The sequence below is a fragment of the Homo sapiens genome, chromosome 10 (assembly GCF_000001405.40).
Source record: "Homo sapiens chromosome 10, GRCh38.p14 Primary Assembly".
Taxonomy (NCBI): Eukaryota; Metazoa; Chordata; class Mammalia; order Primates; family Hominidae; genus Homo; species Homo sapiens.
Genome location: NC_000010.11, coordinates 116,731,980 through 116,756,441, shown reverse-complemented (window position 1 = coordinate 116,756,441; position 24,462 = coordinate 116,731,980). Strand labels below are relative to the sequence as shown.

At 49.8% G+C, this 24,462-nt stretch overlaps 1 protein-coding gene and 1 pseudogene across 4 annotated transcripts in view, besides 3 other annotated features; one reads left to right on the top strand and one right to left on the bottom strand.

The window, feature by feature from the left end:
* Positions 1-24,462, top strand: part of HSPA12A (heat shock protein family A (Hsp70) member 12A) — a 179,556-nt gene that overhangs the window by 94,306 nt on the left and 60,788 nt on the right. The window contains exon 1 of one of the 4 annotated variants that reach the window (NM_025015.3): positions 13,876-14,012. The exons of the other annotated variants lie outside the window; for them this stretch is intronic. Within the exon in view, the coding sequence (NP_079291.2) occupies positions 13,973-14,012 (40 nt within the window). The 5' untranslated portion in view covers positions 13,876-13,972. Of the gene's footprint in view, positions 1-13,875; positions 14,013-24,462 lie in introns of those variants that run through there. 4 annotated transcript variants of the gene reach the window in all.
* Positions 5,110-6,578, bottom strand: RPL5P27 (ribosomal protein L5 pseudogene 27; annotated as a pseudogene).
* Positions 12,603-13,306: an enhancer, noted in NCBI's record as "H3K27ac-H3K4me1 hESC enhancer chr10:118502647-118503350 (GRCh37/hg19 assembly coordinates)". NCBI's record gives its function as "activates a minimal SCP1, AML or CMV promoter by ChIP-STARR-seq in primed H9 embryonic stem cells {active_cell/tissue: H9 hESC(primed)}" and the evidence as "EXISTENCE:reporter gene assay evidence [ECO:0000049][PMID:30033119]".
* Positions 13,307-14,011: an enhancer, noted in NCBI's record as "H3K27ac-H3K4me1 hESC enhancer chr10:118501942-118502646 (GRCh37/hg19 assembly coordinates)". NCBI's record gives its function as "activates a minimal SCP1, AML or CMV promoter by ChIP-STARR-seq in primed H9 embryonic stem cells {active_cell/tissue: H9 hESC(primed)}" and the evidence as "EXISTENCE:reporter gene assay evidence [ECO:0000049][PMID:30033119]".
* Positions 13,562-14,011: a silencer, noted in NCBI's record as "silent region_2855". NCBI's record gives its function as "represses an Ori minimal core promoter by ATAC-STARR-seq in GM12878 lymphoblastoid cells {active_cell/tissue: GM12878}" and the evidence as "EXISTENCE:reporter gene assay evidence [ECO:0000049][PMID:35858748]".

Genomic DNA, 24,462 nt, shown 5'->3' with positions numbered 1-24,462 from the left:
AAATGTGAAATTCCTTGGCCCCAGCACACAGTGTAATGTGTTTTCTCGAATCAAGTATTTGCTGGAGCTGTCTGTCTCTGATCTCACAAGCACACCAGCCAGTTTGTTTTGAGAGCTGCATTTTCGAGAAAGAGCAACACAATTTAGGAGCCAAATCAAATGGCGAGAGCCAGAGTGACAGTAGAGTTAGGATACAGCCCCCTACCCTTCCCTGGAAGTGAGAGGCATCAGTCTCCGGACAGAGTTCAGAGAAAGAGGGAGACAGAAAAAGATTATAAAGCCTTAAGGGAAACCTGGAAATGGCAAAGCCTCCCTCATTATCCCTCCACCTTAGCACAACTGTTTGATCTTTCTACAGGCTAGGAGGTGTTCGTATGCAGGCATACTTTTAGTGGTTATCATCATTATTTATGGGTGTTTTTCTGCTTGTAAAATTTTGTTTTCTTTTCTTTTTTGAGACAGAGTCTTGCTCTGTTGCCCAGGCTGCAGTGCAACAATCACAGCTCACTGCGGCCTCAACCTCCCCAGGCTCAGGTGATCCTCCCACTTCAGCCTCCCAAGTAGATGTGACTACAGATGTGCCCCACCACGCCTGGCTCTTTATTTTTGTATTTTTGTATTTTTTTTTTTTTTTTTGGTAGAGATGGGGTTTTGCCATGTTGCCCAGGCTGGTCCTGAATTCCTGGGCTCATGCCATTCGCCTGTCTTGGCCTCCCAAAGTGTTGGGATTACAGACGTGAGCCACTGCACTTAGCCTCCTCCCAATCCCCCGCTTAATAAGTGACATTTTCTCATGTTACTACACCACCTTTTTTTTTTTTTTTTTTTTTTTGAGACAGTCTCACTCTTTCACCCAGGCTGGAGTGCAGTGGCACGATCTTGGCTCACTGCAACCTCCGCCTGCTGGGTTTAAATGATTCTCGTGCTTCAGCCCCCTAAGTATCTGGGACTACAGGCATGCAGCACCATGCCTGGCTAGTTTTTGTATTTTTAGTAGAGACGGAGTTCCACCATGTTGGCCATGCTGGTCTCGAACTCCTGGCTTCAAGTGATCTGCTCATCTCAGCCTCCCAAAGTGCTGGGATTACAGATGTGAGCAACTGTGCCCAGCCGCCACCTTCATATTTATGTTTGTAATTTTATTCAGTTGTACTCCTCGCATCAATTAACATTTAAAAATACATGGATAGGCCAAGAGCAGTGGCTCACACCTGTAATCCCAGCACTTTGAGAGGCCAAGACGAGTGAATCACTTGAGGTTAGGAGTTTGAGACCAGCTGGCCAACATGGTGAAACCTCATCTCTATTAAATATACAAAAATTAGCTGGGCATGGTGGCAGGCGCCTGTAATCCCAGCTACTCTAGAGGCTGAGGTGTGAGAATCACTTGAACATGGGAGGCAAAGGCTGCAGGGAGCTAAGATCGTGCCACTGCACTCCAGCCTGGGCGACAGAGTGAGATTCTGTTTCAAAAAAAAAAATACATGGATAAATATAGTTGTTTTCTTTTGACATAATTTCTAAGAGAAAGACTAACTGGTCAGTGTTTTCTAAGTGTTGCCATAGGATTTCCCAAAGTATGCAAGTCCTTAGTTTACGATGACTCCATCCATGTATGTATGAAAGTATAGACTCTACTGTGATCTCATTATTAGATGTTATTGTTTTATTGTTTTATAACTTACCTGTGTTTAATAAGTGTTTAACCATATACACACAGAAATAAATTACTGACAAGATCGGTCATTCTGTTCATATTTTTATTTATCTGTATGTTTCTTCTTGAGCATATTTCTTTGTGACTTTTGAGTATTTAGTTCTTGGACTCTGAGAGATACAGATGCATTTACATGCACACACTTAGGCTCACATGCACGTTACACACCTGTTAGATCACATTGATGCAACCTATTTGCTCAGTGTCTATTTTTCTTCTTATCCCCAATTTTCTTAGTTTCTAAAAACCAGAAACTTAACTTTTAAAAAGTTTAATATTTTGATTTTTTTCTTTAATTCTTCTTTTGCTCTAAACTTAGAACTTTATCAGGATACTGGACAAAATAGGAAACGTAGAAAATAACAAATCTTTTGGGGGATGAAATACATAATTTTCTTTTATTTGGCCATTTTACCTTTATCCAGATCTTAGCACTTTCCATCCTCGCAGTGAGCTGAGGGGGGATGGGTCAAGACAGTGTGTTTTCCCCGTTATGAGTGAAGACTGTCCAGGTACAGGCTGGTTAGGGAAGAGCCCACTTCCTTCTCCTCCCTCCCACCACATTGCCAGCCTGGGAAGGACTTCGGTGGAGCAGTTTGAGGGCATTACCTGGCTGTGTAGCCAGTGGTGACTAAATTGCTCATAGCTGACCCCTGCCAGGGTGGGGAGAGGAAGGCCCGGCCCGTGTCTCTACTATGTTGCCTACGAGGGCTGCTCCTGCCCTGGCATGAGGCTGGCTCCCTTGGGAAGCTGAAATGAGGTAGCTGAGTGCTTGGCTTAGTGCCCAGCAGAAAATGAGCAAGCACTGGAGTGAAGCGAGTGTTCATATGATTAGACTTGTAGTGATGTAGCCCTTCTCTACCGAGGAGCTCCTTTCTCTATCCTGGAGTGGGTACCACGTGCCAGACTCCAGACCAAGCACTCCACACGCACCACCTCACTTACTCTTCACAAAAGAAAGAGGACGTAGACCCATTTCCTTGAATTCTTTTAGAACACTTACTTTACTTTCAGACTCTTTGCAGGGGTTTGCCCTACAGGATCATGGAATTTGTGCTCTGGGAGGTGGGTGCCATAATTATTCCCATTCACAGATGAGGAAAATAAGGCTTACAGTAACTAAGATCACAAACTAAGAAGCAGCAAAGTTGGGATTCCACTCCAGGTCTATGACAGGCAGGATGAGGCAGGAAGAATAAGTATGATTTTTGTCCTCATTCTACAGATGGGGAGACTGGGCATCAGAGAGGTTAGGTGACCTGTGCAAAGCCACACAGCAAAAGACAGAACCTGGTCTTGGAGCCAGGGATCCTGAGCCCAGGCTGGGTGTTATCTCACCACTGATCATAGTGATAACTGCAGCTAGTGAAGTGCTCAGTGTGCCAGGTGTCTTTTCAGGGTCCTCTTGGTCCTTACCCAGGAAGAGGGATGTCCTGGAAAGAGGCTGAATGGGACACAGGCCTGTCTGAGCCCGCAGGCCTTGCCCTGACCATCCTGGCCCCACTGCCATGGGTTTGCCCTGCAGGATCATGGAATTTGTGCCAGCATACCAGCATGCCAGCGCCAGGCTGTGAAACAACAGGGCATCTTTGTCCCTGCTCCGCTGACCACCAGATTGTACTTCCCACACGTGGCCAACATCCCTTGGCCAGCTGAGTAGGGAAGGCTGAGGACTTTTATTTTTTGTGTCATTTATTTTCTTGATTTACAGACTTTCTGAGAAAATTCTGTTAAGGAAAATATCCTAGCTGGCTTGCAAATGCATACATTCTCTTACAAAGCTCCTGCCTCACTCAGGCAGGTCAGGAGTCATTACTGAGAGTGGGCTATAGGTAATGGCCAGTTATAATGGCTAACATTGATGGAGAGATTCCTTTGTTGCAGAAACTGGGTTAAGCATTATCTAAGGAAATGTTCCAATGGCCCTAGTATAAAAGGGTTCATGTCAATCTTCTTTTACAAGTGAATCAGAGAGGGTAGATGAGTCACTCAAGGCCACACAGCTAGGCGGGGATGGAGCAAGTATAATCTAACTCCCTAACCCACATCCTTAACTACTGCACTCCTTGCACCCTGCTCTTTTGCTCCCTGAAGCAGAAGATAGGTGAAATTTTCTTGTAAATTTCATACATGAGGGTACTGGTTGAAGTCTGCCTTGAATTTTGGTTGTGTTTGTTTCTCTCTTTTTCACAAGGTCTGGGTGCTACTTGAGGGCTGGGCCTGTGTCTGGTTAGATTTTATGTTGCAGCACATGTCTGATGGAAGGAGAGAATGATTGACGGATAGGATGAATAAGTGAGAGAGAGGCTGAATGAGAATAAATGAGGGGAGGATGAAGGAAAGACCAGGTGTCTTGGCTGACTTGCTATGGGATAATTCAGAAACCATGTGACTTTAATGCAAACTTTAGACTTCAAAGAAAGAGGGCATAGCCCCATTTCCTTGAATTGTTTTAAAGCACTTACTTGACCTCCAGGCTCTTGGCAGGGCTACTTGGTGGTTAAGCAGACCGGCTCTGGGTGACTCCTGGCTCTGCCCCTTCTAGCCCCAAGACTTCCAGCAGGTGACTTGACCTCACCACCCCCAACGTCCCCATCTGAAATAGAGGCCAACATAAGTGTGGACTTCTTAGAGGGAGAACTGTGAAAACTAAGTGAGCATACGTGTCGGTCCATTTTTGTGTTGCTATAAAGAAATAGCTGAGACTAGGTGATTCATAAAGAAAAGAAGTGTAAATGGCTCACGGTGCTGCAGGCTGAACAGAAAGCAAGGCATTGGCATCTGCTTGGCTTCTGGTGAGGCTCAAGAAGCTTACAATTATGGTGAAGGCAAATGGGAAGCGGGCACAACACATGGTAGGACCAAGAGCAGGAGAGAGCAGAGGAGGAGTCAGTGAACTGAGAACTCACTCATCACCAAGGGGATGGTACTAAGCCAAGCCATTTATGAGGGACCTGTCCCCTTGACCCAAACACCTCCCACCAGGTCCCACCTCCAACATTGGGAGTCACATTTCAACATGAGATTTGGAGGGGACAAACATCCAAACCGTGTCAGCATATTTACACATGAACTGTAAATGATAGCAACTGTTACTGTTTTTCCTGGGAAAGCAATTTTACTTAGAGTTGATTTTTACAAATTAATTTGGGTGATGGGTACCTGAGGGGTCCTTATAGCATTCTCTCTGCTTTTCTGGATCCTTGAAATTTTTCACAATAAAACATTTTAGAAACAAGTAATGGAAATCTAAGATGTTAGTTTTGTTGAGAAAACAGATATATTGTGGAGTGCACAACGCATATGCATTCCACAATAATGCAAAATGTACATTGCATTATGTACATGCAAAATGTACATGCAACTTTAATTTTTACTTATTTATTTATTTTTTGCTGGTTGGTCCATAAGTTCATTGTCTTTATTTGAAAAATCCTCATGGAAAATTGTTGTTTGGTTTAGCTCTCAGCAGCCTGATCCTGAACTCTGAGGAAGCACACCTTCCTTTGAGCTACCTGATCTTTCTTCTGAGCAAGGGACATTTTGGGACAGTTTTGCCATTGTCACCCACTACTAGTTCTTCTTTCTTCTTCCTTCTCTCTTCCTTTTCTTCATCTCCTTCTCCTCCTTTCCCTCCTCCTCCTCCTTCTTCCTATTCCTCTTCCTCTTCCTCTCATTTTTCTTCTCCTCCTTCTTCTTCTTCTTCTTCTTCTTCATGTTCTTCCTCTTCCTCCTCGTCCTTCTTCCTTCCTCTTTCTTCATCTTGCTCTGTCACTCAAGTTGGAGTGCAGTGGTACGATCTCAGCTCACTGCAACCTCGACCTCCGAGGCTAAAGCGATCCTCCCACCTCAGCCTCTCAAGTAGCTGGGATGACAGGCACACACCACCATGCTTAGCTAATTTTTAGTTTCTGTAGAGACGAGGTCTCCCTATGTTGCCCAGCCTGGTCTCAAACTCCTGGGCTCAAGCAATCCTCCCGCTTGGCCTCCCAGAGTGCTGGGATTACAGGTGTGAGCCACGGAGCCCGGCCCCTCTCTTTATTTAAACTTCTTTCTTGGGTTTCTTCCCATAGACTGTATTCTGTTGCATAGCAGCGTTACTCTCTTCTACACCTCCTCCATGCCTGGAGTTATGCTGTTTTTTTATGTATTGAGAGGACTGTTTTTTGTAAGCATCTTCATCTTCTTCTGTTAGGAAATGCGTATAATCCACGACATTCTGACTGATGATGTGCTTTCGATGCACTTCTGCATTAAATTCCTTGTTTTCAAAATCATAACCAGGGAATCATTGGGTACCATGAGGGGTAGACAAGCCTCCATCTGTGCTCCCTTCAAGGCCCCCCAAGACTTTATTGCCAGAAGTAGTTTTGGCAAGGCCTGCATCCAAATAGCAGGTGAAGGCACCAGGCTGACCATAAGTGCTTTCTACATTGTATTCATCACCAGTCACCTCCACTTGGCCTTCATAGATCTTGCCCATGCCAGACCTATTGAGAAGCCTGCAGGCCAGCAGCAGGCCAGGACAATGTGCCGCAGCATAATTTGTCAGGCCAACCTTCACACCATGTTTTGGTAGCTCATGAGCATAAGGTACACACATTATCATATCCCCTTCCATACAGGCATAAGCAATGTGACAAACACTCTCTGTGTTAGTTATGTGAGCGATCATCCTGTATTTGGGCATGTTGTACTTATTTTTATCCTGTATTGCCAAGCATTTCCAAGCACAGTAATCCATTTTACCCTCTTGTCTTCTAAATTTCACTTTGTATCTCTTAAAGCAGGCCTTATTCTTGACAACTTTAACAAACCCTGTCCTGCAGAACAGAGACCTGCATCCTTCGCTAGACATAGAGCCCACAACTTTTAAATAAAGCACAAGATCTGAAAGAAACAAAATAGCCTAAAGCAGCCCATGGAGAATCCACCTCCAGGCAAGGTTGCTCCTGGTCTCACTGGACCTTTGGTTTTCTCATCTTAAAAAACTCGGGAATAGTGATGTTTCCCCCTCAGTGCCGCTACATGAGTCAAGCGAGAGGAGAGATATAAGGGTGCTTTGTGAACTGTAATTCTGTCTTCTAATTTGATAATTTGTTCATTCATTCAACACGTTTCTTGAGGCCCTGCCATGTGCCAGGTGCTGCGCTAGGAGCTGGGGACATTGCTGCACACAGATGAAGGCATGACAGACAAACGTGTTCTTGAGCTCAGAATGCCGTGGGGCAAATTCTTCCTCTGCCACTTTCTTCTTAGGTCACAACAGCTGAGTACCTGATCTCCGGGCCTCAGTTTCCTTACCTGTAAAATGGGGGACATTAACAATATAGTTCTCTCATCTACACGGTCATGAAGATAAATGGGGCAATGGATGTGAGGTTCCCAGAGCAATGCCCAGCACATAGCAGGTGCTTGATAAATGTTCATTCTCACCACTGCTGGTAGGAAGAGCCCAGCAAGTGAGGAAGGCTCACCATAAACAGATTTGCAAAATGACTTTAAAGCCATTTAAAGTCATTCGGCACTGGGCTATGGGCTGGAGAAGGGGAAAGTCATTTTTCTCTATAACGTGAAACCCTTGGCTCTTATAAAAGTGCCGTGGAGAAATGGGGTGGCATAATATATGGAACCATAGGTTGGGTGGGGAGGGTCCTTCTCAGGAGCTGCCCTTCAAGGTGAATCAGTGGGATGACACAAGGTAGGAAAGCAGACAGCAGGGGGTGAGGAAGGGAGAGGAGCTGGGTCTGCTCTGCAGATGAGGAGACTGAGGCCCAGGGACAAGTGACTGGTCCCAGCTCCCACAGGGCTGCCACCAGGAACCCAGTGATATGGTTTGGCTGTGTCCCCGCCCAAATCTCATCTTGAATTATAGCTCCCACAATTCCCACATGTCTTGGGAGGGACCTAGTGGGAGGTAATTGGATCAGGAGGGCAGCTCTTTCCCATGCTGTTCTTGTGTAGTGAATATGTCTCATGAAATCTGATGGTTTTATAAAGAGGAGTTCCCTTGCACAAGCTCTCTCTCTTTGCCCACCGCCATCCATGTAAGATGTGACTTGCTCCTTCTTACTGTCTGCCATGATTGTGAAGCCTCCCCAGCCATGTGGAACTGTGAGTCCATCAAACCTCTTTTTCTTCCCAGTCTCAGGCATGTCTTTGTCAGCAGTGTGAAAATGGACTAACACATCCAGTGACCCAAAGATAGACAATATTTGGGCTCACTCTTGCAGAAGTCACTGAGAAAAGTGCTGGTTTCCCTGAGAAGAGTAGCAATGAGGATGGTGACTTAGTGTGCATTCCTAACTCTGGGGTTTTTGGAGACTTGTGCAAGCATTGCTCTTGGACACTGCTGTTGAAGCTCTCAGCCCTCTGGCTCAGATAACACCCTTATTCTAGGTCATTGGTCTCCTTCTCCTCAGCTGTATGCTGCCTGTACCTCTCCTCCAGGCAAATACTGTGACCATGGGCTTGCTACCAGGAAGAACACAACTGTGCAGACATGCCCCAGTGAGTCATCACCAAGTAATCACAGCTAGCACAAGCTATCTTCCACTTTGTATTTTGCAGAAGAGGCCAACAAGGGTCAAGGGTTAAGCTGGGCTGGGAGTCAGGGGGCTGAGTTTGACCGTAGCTCTGTCACTGATTGTGTGACTTTGAACAAGAGGTTTAGTATCTCTGAGCCCATGTTTCTACTTCATTATTTATTTATTTTTTATTTTTTTGAGATGGAGTTTTGCTCTCGTTGCCCAGGCTGGAGTGCAGTGGTGCAAACTTGGCTTACTACAACCTCCACTTCCCAGGTTCAAGCAATTCTCCTGCCTCAGCCTCCCAAGTAGCTGAGATTACAGGCACGCACCACCATGCCCAGCTAATTTTTGTATTTTTAGTAGAGACGGGGTTTCACCATGTTGGCCAGGCTGGTCTCAAACTCCTGACCTCAAGTGATCCACCCGTCTCGGCCTCCCCAAATGCTGCGATTACAGGCATGAGCCACCATGCCCAGCCTCCATTATTTATTTACTGGACCATTTATTCATTCCATCCACAAACATTTACTGAGTACCTACTGCAAGCCAGGCACTGGGCTGTGGGCTGGAGAAGAGGAAAGTTGTTTTTCTCCATAACATGAAACCCTTGGCTCTCATAGTGTCTGGTGAGTTGCAGCCCTTGTGAAAACTCTCCTGGTCACGTGATCATGCCAGTTTCTCTTCTCTGAACCTTTGTCTCAGTTTGCATTGTCCTCCTTGAGATGTGGCTTCCGGGATGTCCCGTCTTATTAATGAACCGGCAGCTTTGCAGGGCCAGGGTTTGAGCAGTTCTGAGAATGTGGCTGCGAGACTAACCATAGACGAGCCATTGCTATTTGAAATACTTACGAAAAATATTTGGATAACCTTCCATTACCTGAGAAGGCATTTCTAAAGTTTACATTGCAGTCCTGAGTGATGGTGATATTTGGAGCAATAATTTCCTCTGGCCCTTGAATTTTTGCCTGAAAGAGTGGCTCAGCAGCTCACATTGTACATGTGAAGGTTGTTTTGGAATGTTAATGGAGAGACCGATTCACACCAGATGGACTGGAAGACCAGTGAGGTGGGGAGGATGTATACACTGGCCACCATGATTCAGCTGTAAGGCTGGCTTTTTAAAATGCACTGACAGTTGGAGGTCAAGGCGGCTGACATTTGCCCAGGTTTTCTCTGCAAGTTTTTATGTTGCTTTAGCAAATCTGAATCTTGGTCCTGTTATGAATTAGTCTCTTTTATGATATTCAGTTCATGGACAACGTTCCGCTGGCATATCCTAAAGTCCAAAGCAGCTTTGACGGGCAGTGTCCTATGTCAAAGTTCAGATATGAACTCATATCAGTGTTTCTTAAGCTTAACAAAAACATAAAAGAAAAATTAAAATGGAAAAAGCTACTCATATCTTCTGTGTGTCTTTATCAGCCAAGAAAATCTTGCCTGGATCCATTCTGTAATTTATAATATACAAGGAAATGGCATTTTTGTGTTCAAATATATAAATTAAATAAGTCATATTAACAGTGGCATATATAGGCTGACTCTAAATGGAATGTTTTACATATATGATCTCTTATAATTATGATACCTATCATTACTGGGCCCTTTTGACAGGTGAGGAAACAGACCCAGAGAGGTATGTCCCAGGTCCCCTGAGGTGGGCAGGGAGCAGCTGAGCCCACTTGAGCCCTGGTCCAGCTGACCCCATGCTCTCTGCTTCCTCCTGTTGTACTTTTCTCATTCTTGGTCCTGATGCATCCCCCAGGGCTCACTGCCCTTAGCATCTGGTCCATCAACAATTATCCTCAGTTTCTTCTGAGCTGGGGGCCAGAGGACTCAGCTGCCTCCCCTACCCATGCTGTGCATCATGTCCAGCCCTTTCCACAGTTGGTAGTTATAGCAGGTGACAGAGTGCCCTGGCTGTCTGGTGCAGTTAGCTGGGCCTGCCTCTGGACTCTGACTTCTATTTGCATGAATGGATGTGGTGGGGGTTTGTTTGGGGGCTGAAGAGCAGAGAGGGAGTCTGTTGGCAGGGAAGCGTGTGTGGGGCTGTGGGTGAACGGGATCCCGGAGAGGATGAGAAAGGCCTGAAGCTGAGGAGGCTGTTTTCCATCAATGTTTTGCTCTCTGCGCCAGGCACCATCCTAGGGTCTGGGGGCTCTAAATGTGGACATGGCTGGTCCCACTTTGGAGAGCTGGCAGCTAGAGGGGGAGGTGGGTGACCTGAAGCTGGAGAGACCTGAGTTCTGGTCTCAGAGGTCTAGTCTCAGCACTGCAGCTTCTGAGCTCAGTGACCTTTCTGTATCTCAGTTTGGTCATCTGTACAATGGGGTTAACAATACTACTGACCTTGGAGTTGTTGTGATAAGTGCTAAGATAGGAGTGATGGGGGGTTGGGCACAGAGGAGAGAGGAGGGGCCTCATGTGATCTTGGAGGGCTAGGTGGTGTCCTGGAGGAAGTGCCATCCAAGCTGAGGCCTGTAGGAAGAGACAGGGTTGGTTACCTGGCAAAACTAGAGGAGAATCGGCTTCCAGTGGAGGCACTGGCTCTTTGGGGACCTGAGGGCAGGCCCTTGAAGCTGGAGTGACCAGCAGGAAGGGAACTAGAAGGTGGTCACTTGGCTCTGGGCTGGGCCACTTTTTAGGACTTGAGTATCCAACCGAGATGTGTAACATTCTCTCCACCAGCTACCACAGTCTACAGCCTGTGGAGGGTGTGGAGGGTGGAGAAGAGATGGTATAGAGGGTGCTGCAGTGTACCCACAGAGAGCACTGTGAGGAGGAGTCTTTGGAGGGGAGCTTGAGGGAACTTGGTACAGAGCAACCTCCCAGGAGTCTGGGCGTGCCCTGAGACAGCTGGGGCTGTGGAAAGGCATGAGCCCTGGGGGTCAGCAGAATGTCTGTGTGCTGGGCTGTGTTCCCGCTTCACTTACTGATTCAGCCAGTCAAGCATCAAGGATTTATTAAGTGCCTGCCATGTACCAGGCGCTGTTCTAGACACAGAGATGCAGAACTGGCAACACAGTCCACGATCTTGCTCTCCTGGGACTTACTTCCCAGTGGGGGCGAGGCAGCAGTTTTAGATAGAGTGTTCTGGGAGGAGCAAGCCACGTGATTGATTCTCTTGAAGGATGTGTCCGGGGGAGTGACCCCCCAGGTGGGGCCTGTGTGTGTTTGGGCTTTGGGGGGAATGGGAGAGTGGAAGGAGCTGAGGTCACTGAGGCATCAGGAGGCCAATTTGTGTAGGACCTGGTAGCAGGAGAATGACATGCTCTCTCTCTGGCTGCTATTGGGGAAGAAGACTCCAGGGAGGAAGGTGGGAACCCTTCCTTGATGTGGCGTGCTGAGCCTTGAACCCCAGCCTTGCTGCTGATGGCCAGAGGATGCCTGAACAGGTGCCTCAGCCTTTGAATGCTTCCTTTTCCTCTCCTGCAAAACCGCAAGGGCCACCATGAGAACTAGGTGAGACCACAACAGCCCCTCGCTGGCGGGCTGGATGGTGTGCTCAGCAGGGCGCGTTGTAATTAGTGTGATGAGCATGAAGGCCGTGAGGGCAAATCCCAGGCAGAGTGTGCGCTGCCTTTCATGCTCCCCTGCAAATCAAAAGTGTTCTGCTCTCTGCCCCCAGCACTGGGGCCTGCATGTCACCTCCCATCCTTCTCACGCACCCTCATGTCACTGTGGCTGGGAGTCCCATGAGGGCACGTGGCGCCCAAGGCCCTTCCACAGCAGGAGGCAGATGTGCAGGGGCTACGGGTTTCTGCTGCTTCTGACAGGCTGTCAAGGCCAATGTCCTGATGCCCTGGTCTGATGGGGAGGAACGAGTGCCTTGAGGACACTGAGGAGGGCCCCCCTGGCCAGCATGGGTATGCAGGGGAGCCTTCCTGGAGTTGGGCAGTCCATGATGAGAAGGAGAAGTTCTTAGGTTGCTGGTGGTGGTGAAATGAGAGGACGGGTGATCCAGGCATCAAGCACATTTTCATGTCTTTGAAATACCAGCATAAGAGAAGCAGGGGTGGGTGAGAGGGATTGAAGAATCAGAGCGGCTGTAGCTGGAGCTGGAGTAGGGTGGGGACAGACCAGATCACAAAGCATGGACTGAAGGGGTGAGACAGGAGGGCGGGGGAGCTGTGGGCAGGCTGTCGCAGGCACGTAGGCAGGAAGGGCCCTCGGGGGCCATCAGTGACTTAATGATTTTTACCATGTGCTAGATCCCAAGCTAAGCATGTTACATGCATAGTCTATCTAATCTTCAGTTTTATGAAGTGGGTTCTCCTGTTATACCCATTTCGCAGATGAGAATATTGAGGCTCAGATAGGTTAAATAACTTGACTGTGGTTTCATGCACAGCCAGGAACTGTCCATTTGGGATTTTTAATGCAGGCAGACAGAAGACAAGTTTTGTGTTTTGAACTTGTCACTCTGCCATCACCTTCTGGTCTCCAGGCTCTCGCAGCAGCTCTCTGCCCATTCCGTCATCCATAACGCTCTCGCAGCAGCTCTCTGCCCACTCCGTCATCCAGAACGGGATTGTACGATGAAGCCTCCCCTAGGTGATCTTTGGGAAATGCCACCCATCTCTGGAAGTGAGGGATGCTGGTGGTTACAGCTGGGTGGGAATCCCAGCTCCGCGACTCACCTGCTGGGTGTGATATTGTAACCCTGCCGATCCTCAGCTTCCTTATCTGCAAAATGTTAGTTATGGGGAGGAAAGGAGATAGAGGTAAAGCACCAGGCAGGTAGCACAGTGCCAGGCACCCGGAAACGACCCAGTGACGGTGCTCCTCGGATTCCTATTACTGCCCTCGTTTGCCAAGGCAGGGTGGTGACACCGCGGACCCAGGGGGTGCCTGGCCAGGCCCAAACAGGTGCCAGCGGCGCGTGTGTGTGGAGGAGCTGGGGACAGGGAGTATGAATCATTCACAACTGAAGCCTTGCATTATTAATATCGTTATTCTCAGACTTCTAAGGAGGGCCCAGCTGGATCCCATATATGGAAGGCGCGACTCAGCCTCCGGGGCAAGCACCTCCCTGGGTCCGGAGTTGCCATGGAGTCCCGCAGGCGGCCTGGAGGCGGTGCCCCGGGCTCGGCCCCCGCGCAGGTCCTTGGTCTGCGGCCTGGGTCCTGCCCGCGCCGGGGTCCACCCAGCCCGCCTTTGCGCCGGCCCAGGGCCGCTCCCCTGGGACCCTGGGGGACAGACAGAAGCTGGTGGGGACTGGCGCGGGCGTCCTCGGGAGAGCGCCGGGCGCGCTGGGCTTGCTGAAGGGCTCCAGGCCTGGCCATTCGGTGACTTCCAAAGAGGGGACGCGCCGCGGGGCCCCGAGGGCCTGAAATCCGCTCCCGCAGCGCAGCCCCGGGCGCGCCACTACCCCCGCCGCGGTCGACTGCGGGGCGACCGCTCGGTCCCGAAGCCGGGAGAGGAGAGGCCGGGCCTCGGCGGGCCGCTCTGGGCGGGCGGGGAGCGCAGCTCCGGAGCCAGGCAGTTCCCCGCGCCCGCCTTCCCCGACCTTTCCCGGCCGGCCCGAGCTCGGAGGGGCGGGGCGCCGGGCGGGCCGGGGCGGGGCCCGGGGAGGAGCCGTGGCTGCGGCGGCTGCCGCGTCAGAGCAGCGCTCCCGCTGCCCGGCGGCTCAGACACGGCCCGAGCGCCGCCGCGGACGCGGACAGAGACCCGCACGGGCACGGGCGCTGCGCTGGAGGCTCCCCTCGCGGTCCGGGGCTGCGCGACCATGGCGGACAAGGAGGCCGGCGGCAGCGACGGGCCCCGAGGTGAGCGCAGGCTGCGGGTCCTGCGGCCGCGGCTGGCGGGGCAGGGAGGGAGGAGGCGCGCTTGGCCCAACGCTCCGCACCCCCTCGCGCGCCGTGGAAAAGTGGGGACGCCCGCGCTGCATCCAGTTCTGGCGGGCGGGGCCGGGGTCAGCAGCAGCGGGGCCGGGGGCCGGGGTCCGGTGGACCGGAGACGGCCCGCGGGTCACATGTTCTGCGCCCCGCCAGGGTGCGGACTCCGCGGCGGGGACTGCAGCCCCCGCTGAGGCGCCTGGTTGGTCCCTGCCTCGGGTGGCGCCTCCTGCGGGGCTGGTCGCGCGTGCGGGTGAGGACCGCCCCGCGTGTGCAGCCCCCGCGCGATGGGCTGCGGAGGCCGGCGCTGGCTGGGTAAAGGGCCCGCCGCCGGGTGGCCGGGTGGCCCCAGCGGGTAATTTTCGTGACTCAGCGAGGCAGGAGTGGGAGCCTGGGGGAAATCGGAGATTTGGACCTGTTCCCTCGCCCCATCCCACCCCGGCCGGACGCTCGAGCCAGGAGTGGGGGCTGCAGCTGCGGCCGAAGGGCTTCTCACCCACCTCCCCGCCCATCCCCAGGGACTCACTGGGCTGGGGAAGGGTGAAGCGGCGGGGGTTCGATGGTCCCTTCCTTGCGGGGGGCAGGGGGAGGCACCCAGTGCGGAGGACAGACGCTCGCATTTTGCAGATGTGCTAGGGCCGCTTTCTTTGGGGAGCGTGATTAGGGCTCCGAAGGGTGGGGGAGCCGGAGAGGACGGGGAAGGGGGTTGCGGGAAGAGGACGAGCAGGTTTCGGAGCCCAGGGCTGTAAATCAAGGCTTCTCCCACGGAGGGCCCGGCTGGCCAGGATTCCAGTCTTCCTGTGGGTCCCAAGTGGGGAAAGTTGGGCGCATGGAGGCGCCGCGCGTCCCTGACCTGCAGGGCCTCGGCGAGAGCGGCCGCCGGGGAGAGGAGCGCGGCCCAGGCATCTTTCCCGGGAGCGACAGGCAAGCCGCCTGCGAGGATGATATTAAAATGCCGGGACGCAAGGGAGATTCAGCCACGAAACGAGCGCTTGGCTCTGCGGGGCCCCAAAAGCTGGAGAAACTGAGTCCAGTGGCAGCACAGCCACCATCTGCGCTGGGTTCCCTGTCTTGCTGTCGGGCCTGCGGCCCCCACCCTCTGCTGCACTCCAAGCCGCACCTGCCCCCACCCCAGCCCATTGTTCCTGCGGATCAGGGAGGTGCCTCCCCACGCGGCACTGCAGTGGTGGGGGAGTGCAGGGTGGCGGGTGGGGGATCCTGACAGGGCTCACTCCAGGGAGAGGCAGCGGAGAGCCCAGGCCGTCCCCAAACACACACCCAGTCCCCGCCTGTACTCTTCCTCAGCTGGTGAACGCAGGCAATGGACTGGCAGCTGTCTTTGTCTGAACATCACTCAGCAACTGGATTGACTCTTTTTTTTTTTTTTTTTTTTTTTTTTACTTTTTTCCTTTAAGTCAGAAAATAAAAAAATTTTTAGGACGATAAGTAGGGGCGTTGAATTGCTAAAGCCTGAGAATTACTGAGCCAGTTTCTTGCCTCTCATGCTGGGATAGGGTGGGCGATGATACCAAATACAAGGTTGGGCATAGGATTTGTCAAATCAGAAGTGGGCAGGAATGTGTACCCACTCCCCACACCTTTCCCAACACTGTTTTGTCTTGTAAATCAAATTCAGCACCCCTATCCTAACACACACACACACGCACACACACACACACACACAGACACACACACACACACACACACACACACACACACACACGGTGCTGGGAGAAATCCTGTCCAGGATGGGGACACCCATACCTGGTGTGCCGAGCCACCTGCCACCGCTCTTCTGCGTTTGTTCTGGAGTATTTGTTTCTTCACTTCCAGTCATCTCCAGCTCAAGGTGGCCAGTGAGAATTCCAGGTGCATGGACTTAGGACAGAGACCAACCTGAAGAGCGGGCTGTCCCTGGCAGCTCACTGTGCCTCTGGGCACCTCTCCCTTTATCTGTAAAATGGAGGATGTGAATAGTATTGCATAGGAGCAGAGTTGGCTTGCCCCTGGCCCCTACACTTATTTCTAAGGTTTCCTCATTGCTGGGAAAAGAGCGTGCATTATTTTATTGTTTTAAAGGCTCACAACAAACCTGTTACCAGCATTCTCCCCTTCCTGGGTGGGAAATCCAAACACAGGTTGAGTGACCTATCCAAGGTCACACATCTGGGAAGTGTTGTTTGGGACCCAGGCCATCTGATTCCAGGGCACCAACCTGTGCATACAGCCCTTATGCATGTGTGCAGTGGTTACCACTCTATTAAGGACATAAAAAAATGGTTGTGCTTCCTGGGAAGGATTTCCAGAATGTTTTTGGTACAAAAGGATGGGTGCCACAAATATCACACTGTTGGAATTTGTGAGCAGTGGCAGTCCTGGGTTGGGGAGGGGTTTGCTGGTGGGTAGGTGGTGTTGGGGGGTGGTGTCAGAAAGGCTGGCCATGAAATCTTCTCCAACAAGTGCAGTTGGGGTGGGGTGGGGAGTGGGCAGAGGTGCGTGCCAATGAAACAAGAATGGCAAAATGTGGTAGTTGGGTGATGGGGAGCGGCGGTTCATTACTATTCTGCTTACTTTGTGTATGTTTGCAAATTTTCTTAATAAGATGTTTAAATTACTTAATTTACAAAATCTGAAGGGCCACACTTGAGGGTCTGGGTGTTGGACAGCAAAATTTGAGATGACCTTCAATCCTGCCCCCTCCCGCATGACCTGAGTGGGTTGACACATGGAGCCCTAGAAGGGTGAGATGAATTGGGGGTGGACAGAGTGGTTCGGACAGGGATGGCTCCTATGGTGACCAAGTCAGGGCTAGACATGAAGAGTGGAAACCAAGTCATTTTTTCCAGGGCACGGGCTTGAGGAGAGGGATGGTGGGCAGGCAGTTTTGCCTGGGTTGAGGGTATCTCTCGAGGCCTGGCATTGGGCTTTGGAGATGCCATCCTGGAGGTTCATCTTAATAAAAATAAACATTTTAAACGTTCACTTTTATTGAGGACTTAGTGTGTGCTGAAACCTGGGAATATTGAGTTATCTCATTTAGCCCTGACCACGTTTGTTGTTGAATGAATGACTATGAAGGACGCCCTGTGATCCCCATTTCACAGAGGAAAAAGCTGACAGTCCTAGCAGCGCACAGCTGGAAGGGGGCCTAGGTAAGGACCTAGGCCATGGGATGCAGGCCCCAGGTGGTCAAGCTGAACAGCCTCTCCTGGCATGTGCCTGGCATGTCATAGGCCCTCAGGGACTTGTGTTGAGTAGGCCTGCGGCTAATAGAGAGTGGCTGCCCTACTTCCTTCAGCCACCAAGCTGTAGATGGTAGTGACAGGGCGCTGGTTATAGCCCCCAAAGGAAGTAAGCAAAGGTCAGGGTGATGCTCTGGGCATTGCAGGTTAGGGTTCTGGCTATGGGATCCACTTCCGTGTCAACATCTGCTGCTGCAACTTGTCTGCCGCCTTGGTGGTCCTCCCATGCCTTCTGTGTATGTCCCTACACAGTGTCTTGTGTTTCCCAGAGCCTTGTGATCGCCTTTGGCCCTGGACACATGCAGTCCTCCCTGCTTGGGACATCCTCTCTTTGTTTAGCAAGGTCCTACTCATCCTTCAAAACTCAGTTAAGGTATCACCTCTCAGGAAGCCTTCCTGGGCTCATCCATCGGGATGAGATCTGCCTGTGTGGTCCCAAAGCCTTCGGTACTTAATGGTTGATAATTCCAACTAGTGTTTGTTGAGGCCCTACGATATGCCAGCTTTGTATGCCTGTATCTCATTGACTCCTCCAGCAACCCTGTGAGGCTGGCATTATTATTACCCCATTTTGCTGATAAGGCAATTGAGGGCTTTGAAAAACTTGCTAACTTGCCCAACCAGTGAATGCTGGAGTTGGGATATGAGTCAGCCATGGAGCCTAAAATCTTGTGCTGTTTCTCTCAATGCTCTTTCTTCCGAGAAAGGCGTGGACTATGTCTTTCATTTCCATTTTTTTTTACTAAGGACACTAGTAGGTGTTCAATAAATGTCTTACTTTTTGTTGAGTGTCAGTCAGCAAGACATGAGGGAACACAGCAGAGGGCAATGGCGTCTACATCTTGCCCACTCCGCAGTGGTGCTCCTGGAAATGTGGATGCTCAGGAGTGGGCCAAGCTGGAGGGGAGTCAGGCAGGGCTTGGACAATCTCAGAAGAGAAGCTGCTTTGATTCCAATAAGGCCTGGAGTGACGACTCAATCTTGTGGGGGCGAAATGCTCTCTTTTCATATAAATAGGCCTCTTTGGTAAGGGAGAAAGCATCTTTATTACTGCTGTGCATAATTAGAACAGCGGGGAGGAATCAGGGGCTTTTAATGAATGAGCAGCGTGTGGCAGGGAATGAGTGAGCGCCTGCCACTGCGGGCACCCCCAGGCCTGGGCATCCCCAGGAGTGAGCGGGGCCAGCGAGGAGACGACCAAGGAAGCACAGGCAGTGCTCAGAATTGAAACCTGCCCCACTGAAGCGGGCCCTGCTGATCCTTGCTGCGTTCCTGTCATTGCAAATGACTCCCAGGCTGCAGCTTTGCAGATGCTGCTCTGAGCTCTGCCAGGACCACCCCTCTTCTTCCAGCCTTGACCGTGACCTGGCAGCCGCAGATGTCCTGCGGGGCTGGCAGCTGCTCCATGGCACCCCTTCTGGGCAATCCTGAGCTGCAGAGTTTTTGCCTTGATTTTAGTCCCCTTATTTTTAGGGTGGCCATATGTCCTGGTTTGCTGGAATAGTTCTAGTTTATGCCTCTTTTCCTAGTGAAATTAGTAATAATGATATCTTTCACCTTCTAAGTATCTCAGTTTGGAAGGTGAATTATGTGGTTGCGCTCCTTATCTTTGTCTTCTCAGCCATCCGGGCCTCAAGACGGATGAGGGAGGCAGTAGGGTGTGCAGGTAAACCTGGGCTTTGGTCTCAGATGCTTGTAACATCTGGGTTTAACGTTGCTGCATCTGTTTTTTCTGCTGTAGACAAGGACGATTAATAATCTCTGCTCTACTGGGGTGCTGTGAGAATGAAATGAGAGAGTATTTGTAATGAGCTTAGGTATGAGCCTGGTACACAGAGGGCTCTCAGTAACTTCCAGTCATTTTATTATCATTGTTAGGTTGATTTGGGAAGCGTAGTGGTTAAATGTGAGATCTGGGGCCAGACTGCCTGGGTTCAAATCTGTGCTGTGTCATTGACCTGCTCTGTGACCCTGGCAAGTTACTTAACCCCATAAAGCCTCAGTTTTTCTCATCTGTAAAGTATGGATTATAACAGTCTCTTCTTCATATGGCCTTTATGAGAATTAAATGAGTTTTTATATGAAAAGCACTCAGAGTAGAGCCGGGCATGAAGTAGACATTGAATTAATATGAGCAATTATTATTGGCTGTTATTGTTATTATGAATAAATGTCCCAACTTACATTCTTGTAGGCAGGAGGAATTATCCAGTACATTTGTTTCCTATTGCTGTTGTAAAACTTACCACAAATTTAATGGCTGAAAACCATACAAATTTATTATCTTACATTTCTGGAAGTCAGGAATAAGTCCAAAATGGGTCTCCCTGGGCTAAAACCAAGGTGTTGGCAGAACTGTATTCCTTCTGGAGGCTCTAGGGGATAATCCATTTCATTGCCTTTTCAAACTTCTCGAGGTGACCTGCATTCCTTGGATCGTGGCCCCTTCCTCCATCTTCCAAGCCCATCACTCCAGCCCCTGCTTTCATTGCCACATCCCTTCTCTGACTCTGCCCCTCCTCCTCCCATTCCCTTTCTAAGGACACTTGTATGAGGACCTCTTATTAGGCCTACTTGTGTAATCATTTCCCCATCTCAAGATCCTTAATTTAATCACATCTGCTGACTCCCTTTTCCCATAGGAGATAACATAGTCATCGGTACCAGGGGGCTATTATCGAGCCTCTCATAGCCAGAAAGATTGGAGTCTTGCCTAGGTTTGGGGTGTTGGAGAGTCTTCTGTGTCCCTCAGGAGCTGTCTGAAGTTTGGAAATGACTCCTCCTCCGTGTTGTACATTAGGTCAGGTTCCTCGTGCACCTGCTGCGGGTTGCCCTCCCTGGAGTTTGGATTGTGGATCAACCCTTGACTTCTATTCAATCTCAGTAGGGTCCTTAGAGACATTGTTACTTTTAGGGCTGATTTAGCCCCTTCTGAGGGGCCCATGACTCATTGAGATCTGAATAAAAAGGTTTATTGGCTCCCAAGCAGGGAAAACAATCAATGCATTAAACAAGTTATTGAAATGTCTATAAAATGTCACATTATATTTGCTTTTACTATGTAGCAAACCACCCCAAAGTTTAATGGGTTAAAACAATAGTCTTTTTAAAAAAATTTATTTTAAGACAAGGTCTTCCTCTGTGACCCAGGCTGGAGAGCAGTGGCGTGATCTTGGCTTATGTAAGCTCTGCTTCCTGGGCTGAAACGATCCTCCCACCTCAGTTTTGTGGGTAGCTGGGACTAAAGGTGCACATCTCCATGCCTGGCTTTTTTTTTTTTTTTAAATAGGGACAAGGTCTCACTATGTTGCCCAGGCTGGTCTCAAACTCCTGGGCTCAAGCAACCCTCCTGCCTCAGCCTCCCAGAGTGCTGAGATTACAGGCATGAGCCACCGTGCCTGGCAACAATAGTCATTTTATGGCTTATGATTCTCTGGGCAGGTCTCTGTTGGGTGGTTGTTTTGGTGGTCTTCCCTGTGGTCACTTATGTGACTGCAACACTCTGATGGCTCAACTAGTCTGGGTAGTCCAAGATGACCTCGCTCACAGGTCTGGGGGTTGGTGCTGGCTGTCGGCTGGGCTTCGTTCTCCACATGGTCTTTTATCCTCTAAGAGGCAAGCTCAGGCTTCTTTATGTGGTGGCCTCAGGACAGCAAGAGGATGAGAGGGGAAGCTGCAAGGCCTCTTGAGGCGTTCCTGGGAAGTCCAATAAAATCACGTCTGCTGTATTCCTGGTGGTCACAGCAAGTCTTGAAGCCAGCTCAGATAGAGGGATGGAGAAATTGCCTTCACCTCTTAGTGAGAGGACCTGCAAAGAATGTGTGGCTATTTTTAATCTAACAGAGTTGGCTTGGCAAAAATGTTGAAACTACAAACTTTAGAAAACTATATTATGCTTTAAAGCAACTTGTAGGTTAGATCTCACTTCTTAAGACGTTCTGCAAGTGCCCAGTGATTGTCTGACACTTACAATTATTTGTTTGTTGTGCTAGAACATGTGTTTCTATAAGTGATAAATGAAGAATGATGGTGGTATTCAGAAAAGTTGTGTTGGCACATTCTCAATTTTTCCCAGTATGTTTGCACTTTGACAGATCAGGATGAACTTTTTTCTTTTTTTTCTTTTCGAGACGGAGTCTCGCTCTGTCGCTCAGGCTGGAGTGCAGCGGCTCGATCTCGGCTCACTGCAAGCTCCGCCTCCCGGGTTCATGCCAGTCTCCTGCCTCAGCCTCCCGAGTAGCTGGGACTACACTCGCCCACCACCACGCCTGGCTAATTTTTGTATTTTTAGTAGAGGCAGGGTTTCACCGTGTTAGCTAGGATGGTCTCGATCTCCTGACCTTGTGATCTGCCCTCCTCGGCCTCCCAAAGTGCTGGGATTACAGGCATGAGCCACCGTGCTCAGCCCAGAATGCACTTTTTTCATGATTGAAGGCTAATATATGAAAAAAGCAAAAAAAAAAAAAAAGCTGAAAATCTGTAGATGCAACTACCTTTAGTGTAAGTCAGGGCTGTTTTAGTATTGTTCCATTCCCCATTCCCTTAAGCTCTGTTGGCAGCTGAGAGGGCAGATGAAGGAGCTGCAAAGACATTGTCCCTATAAGAAAATGATGGGTATGGGTGTGTGGGTGACACCCTGGATGGGTTTTGCTTTTTTTTTTTTTTTTTTTAGACAGAGTCTCGCTCTATTGCCCAAGCTGGAGTATAGTGGTGTGATCTCGGCTCACTGCAGCCTCCACCACCTGGGTTCAAGTGATTCTTCTGCCTCAGCTTCCCGAGTAGCTGGGACTACAGGTGTGTGCCACCATGTCCAGCTAATTTTTGTATTTTTAGTAGAGGCAGAGTTTCACCATGTTGGCCAGGCGGGTCTCAAACTGCCTGTCTTGGTGATCTGCCTGTCTTGGTTTCCCAAAGCTCTGGGATTACAGGTGTGATCTGCCTGTCTTGGTTTCCCAAAGCTCTGGGATTACAGGTGTGAACCACTGTGCCCTGTTGGGTTTTGCATTTTGATGAGAATGGCCCCCTAAGAAGTGAGTGCTCCGTTACTGTTTTTGGAAAGGTTCCGGTAGCAAGGTTCCGCAGGTGTGGAGTGATGTACACCGACCTTGTTTTCCTCATGAATCCTGTTATTTTTAGTGTATGGGTTTGTAGAATGTGAAGATTTGTAGGAAAATATGCTGCATTACAGTGGAAGTGCTTGAACAGATGCTCCTTGACTTACAATAGGGTTACGTCCCTATAAACCCATAAAAACGTTGAAAATATCATAAGTTGAGTCATCCTAAGTTGAGGACTGAGTGTATTTATATTTGATGTGGGATAAGTGTTCATTTAAAAAATATTTGCTCCGATATGGGGTGGAGCCTCAAATAACAGCCAATAGGAAGAGCCTACAGTCACTTCCTATTCAGTCATTTGAAATTTTGAGACTGCTTTGCTTCCCAGATGTTTGCATACTTAGTGGGTAGTTTTGTCAGTTATGTTCAGAATTTTAATGTCAGAAAACAGAGACTCCAGGAGTAAGTTCTGTAGGATGGAGCTCCTGTTTCATCGACCCACTTAGCACCCAAGATCTCAGAGGGAAATGGATTACGCCAGTGCCCTTTGCTTCCTATAAACTGACAATTAAATGATGTCCCTTGGGGCTTCCTATGTTTTGTAAATCAGACCTCGTGATCTTATTGGTTTCTCTGTGATGAGGAACAGTGGTTCCTGTACCCAGGCGGCTGGTTCTGTTTGGGACAGGGAAGCTGTAGGTATTCGGGCTCCAGCCTGCTGCCTCTGAGGCCTCAGGCTGGCCTCTCTTTGCTTGTCTCCCATGTTTCCTTGGGCTGAAGGCTAAACTCCTCTGGCCACTTACTTCCTTTTCTTTCCTTTAGTCATTGTCCCTTAGTGACCATCTCCGCTGGCTGGGATAAGAAACTGTTTACAGCACAACCATCAGGCAGGAGTCTGTGCCCAAAGGACAGATGAAAGTTTCAGAAAACAACTGCTTGTAGTCAGTCCACATGGCTGCTGGACCGATTTGAAGGGATGATGGTTATCAGTTTGGGTGGTGGTTTCCCTGGGCCAGCAGTTAGAAAACAGAGCTCATGGATACATCCACAGCTAGATGGGACCAGGTTGTCTAATGTCTGGACTGGGCCCACCCTCTCATTTTACAGATGGGGAAACTGAAGTCAGGGAGGGGAAGAGACTGCCCCAGGACACTAGGCAAAGCCAGGCTCAGAATCGAGGTCTGCCGACTCCCTCTGCATGCTTTCCAGCTGAACTCCGCAATGGCTACAGAATCCTCCAGCAGTCCCGCCAGCCACTCCCGGTCACTCAGAGACGGCACAAGGATCCAAACCTCCTTGCCGTTAACAAATTCATGACTTGTCCCTCCAGCAGGAGTTACATTTTAAAAAAGTATTTGAAGAATGCTTAACTCAAAGGAATGAAGTGCCAAGTCAAATTGCTGTGAATAAAACACTCTGCAATGGTGGAGCCGCAGGCCCAGCTTTTCTTTTCTAGTCTCTTGTGTGTTCCCTCACTTGACAGTAGTGGTTGCCCATCTTTTTGTGCCTTGGCTCTTGGCAGAATGTCTGTTTTGAAAGGGTTTTGATTAGGGATTTTGGTTGCAGGTAAGTAAACCTTCTCTGGCTAGAGGAAGCCAAAAAGGTAACTTTACAGTGAGGATCCAGGGCTGGTTCCTGGAACTTAAACCTGCTGCTAGGTCTAGGAGGGGAAAGTGTTGGGAACATGGCAGTTTTCTTTCCCTCTGTCTCTTTCTTTCTTTCTTTCTTTCTTTGTTTTTTTTGAGACGGAGTCACCCAGGCTGGAGTGCAGTAGGGTGATCTTGGCTCACTGCAGCCTCCGCCTCCCGGGTTCAAACGATTCTCCTGTCTCAGCCTCTGGAATAGCTGCAATTACAGGCATGCACCACCACACCCAGCTAATTTTGTAGTTTTAGTAGAGACGGCGTTTCATCACGTTGGCCAGGCTGGTCTCGAACTCCTGACCTCAAATGATCTGCCTACCTTGGCCTCCCAAAGTGCTGGGATTACAGGCATGAGCCACCACCCCTGGCCCTGTCTCTTACTTCTGCTTTGCTCTGCATGTCACCCACCCCTCCTCTCTGCAGGACCACTTTAGGATTG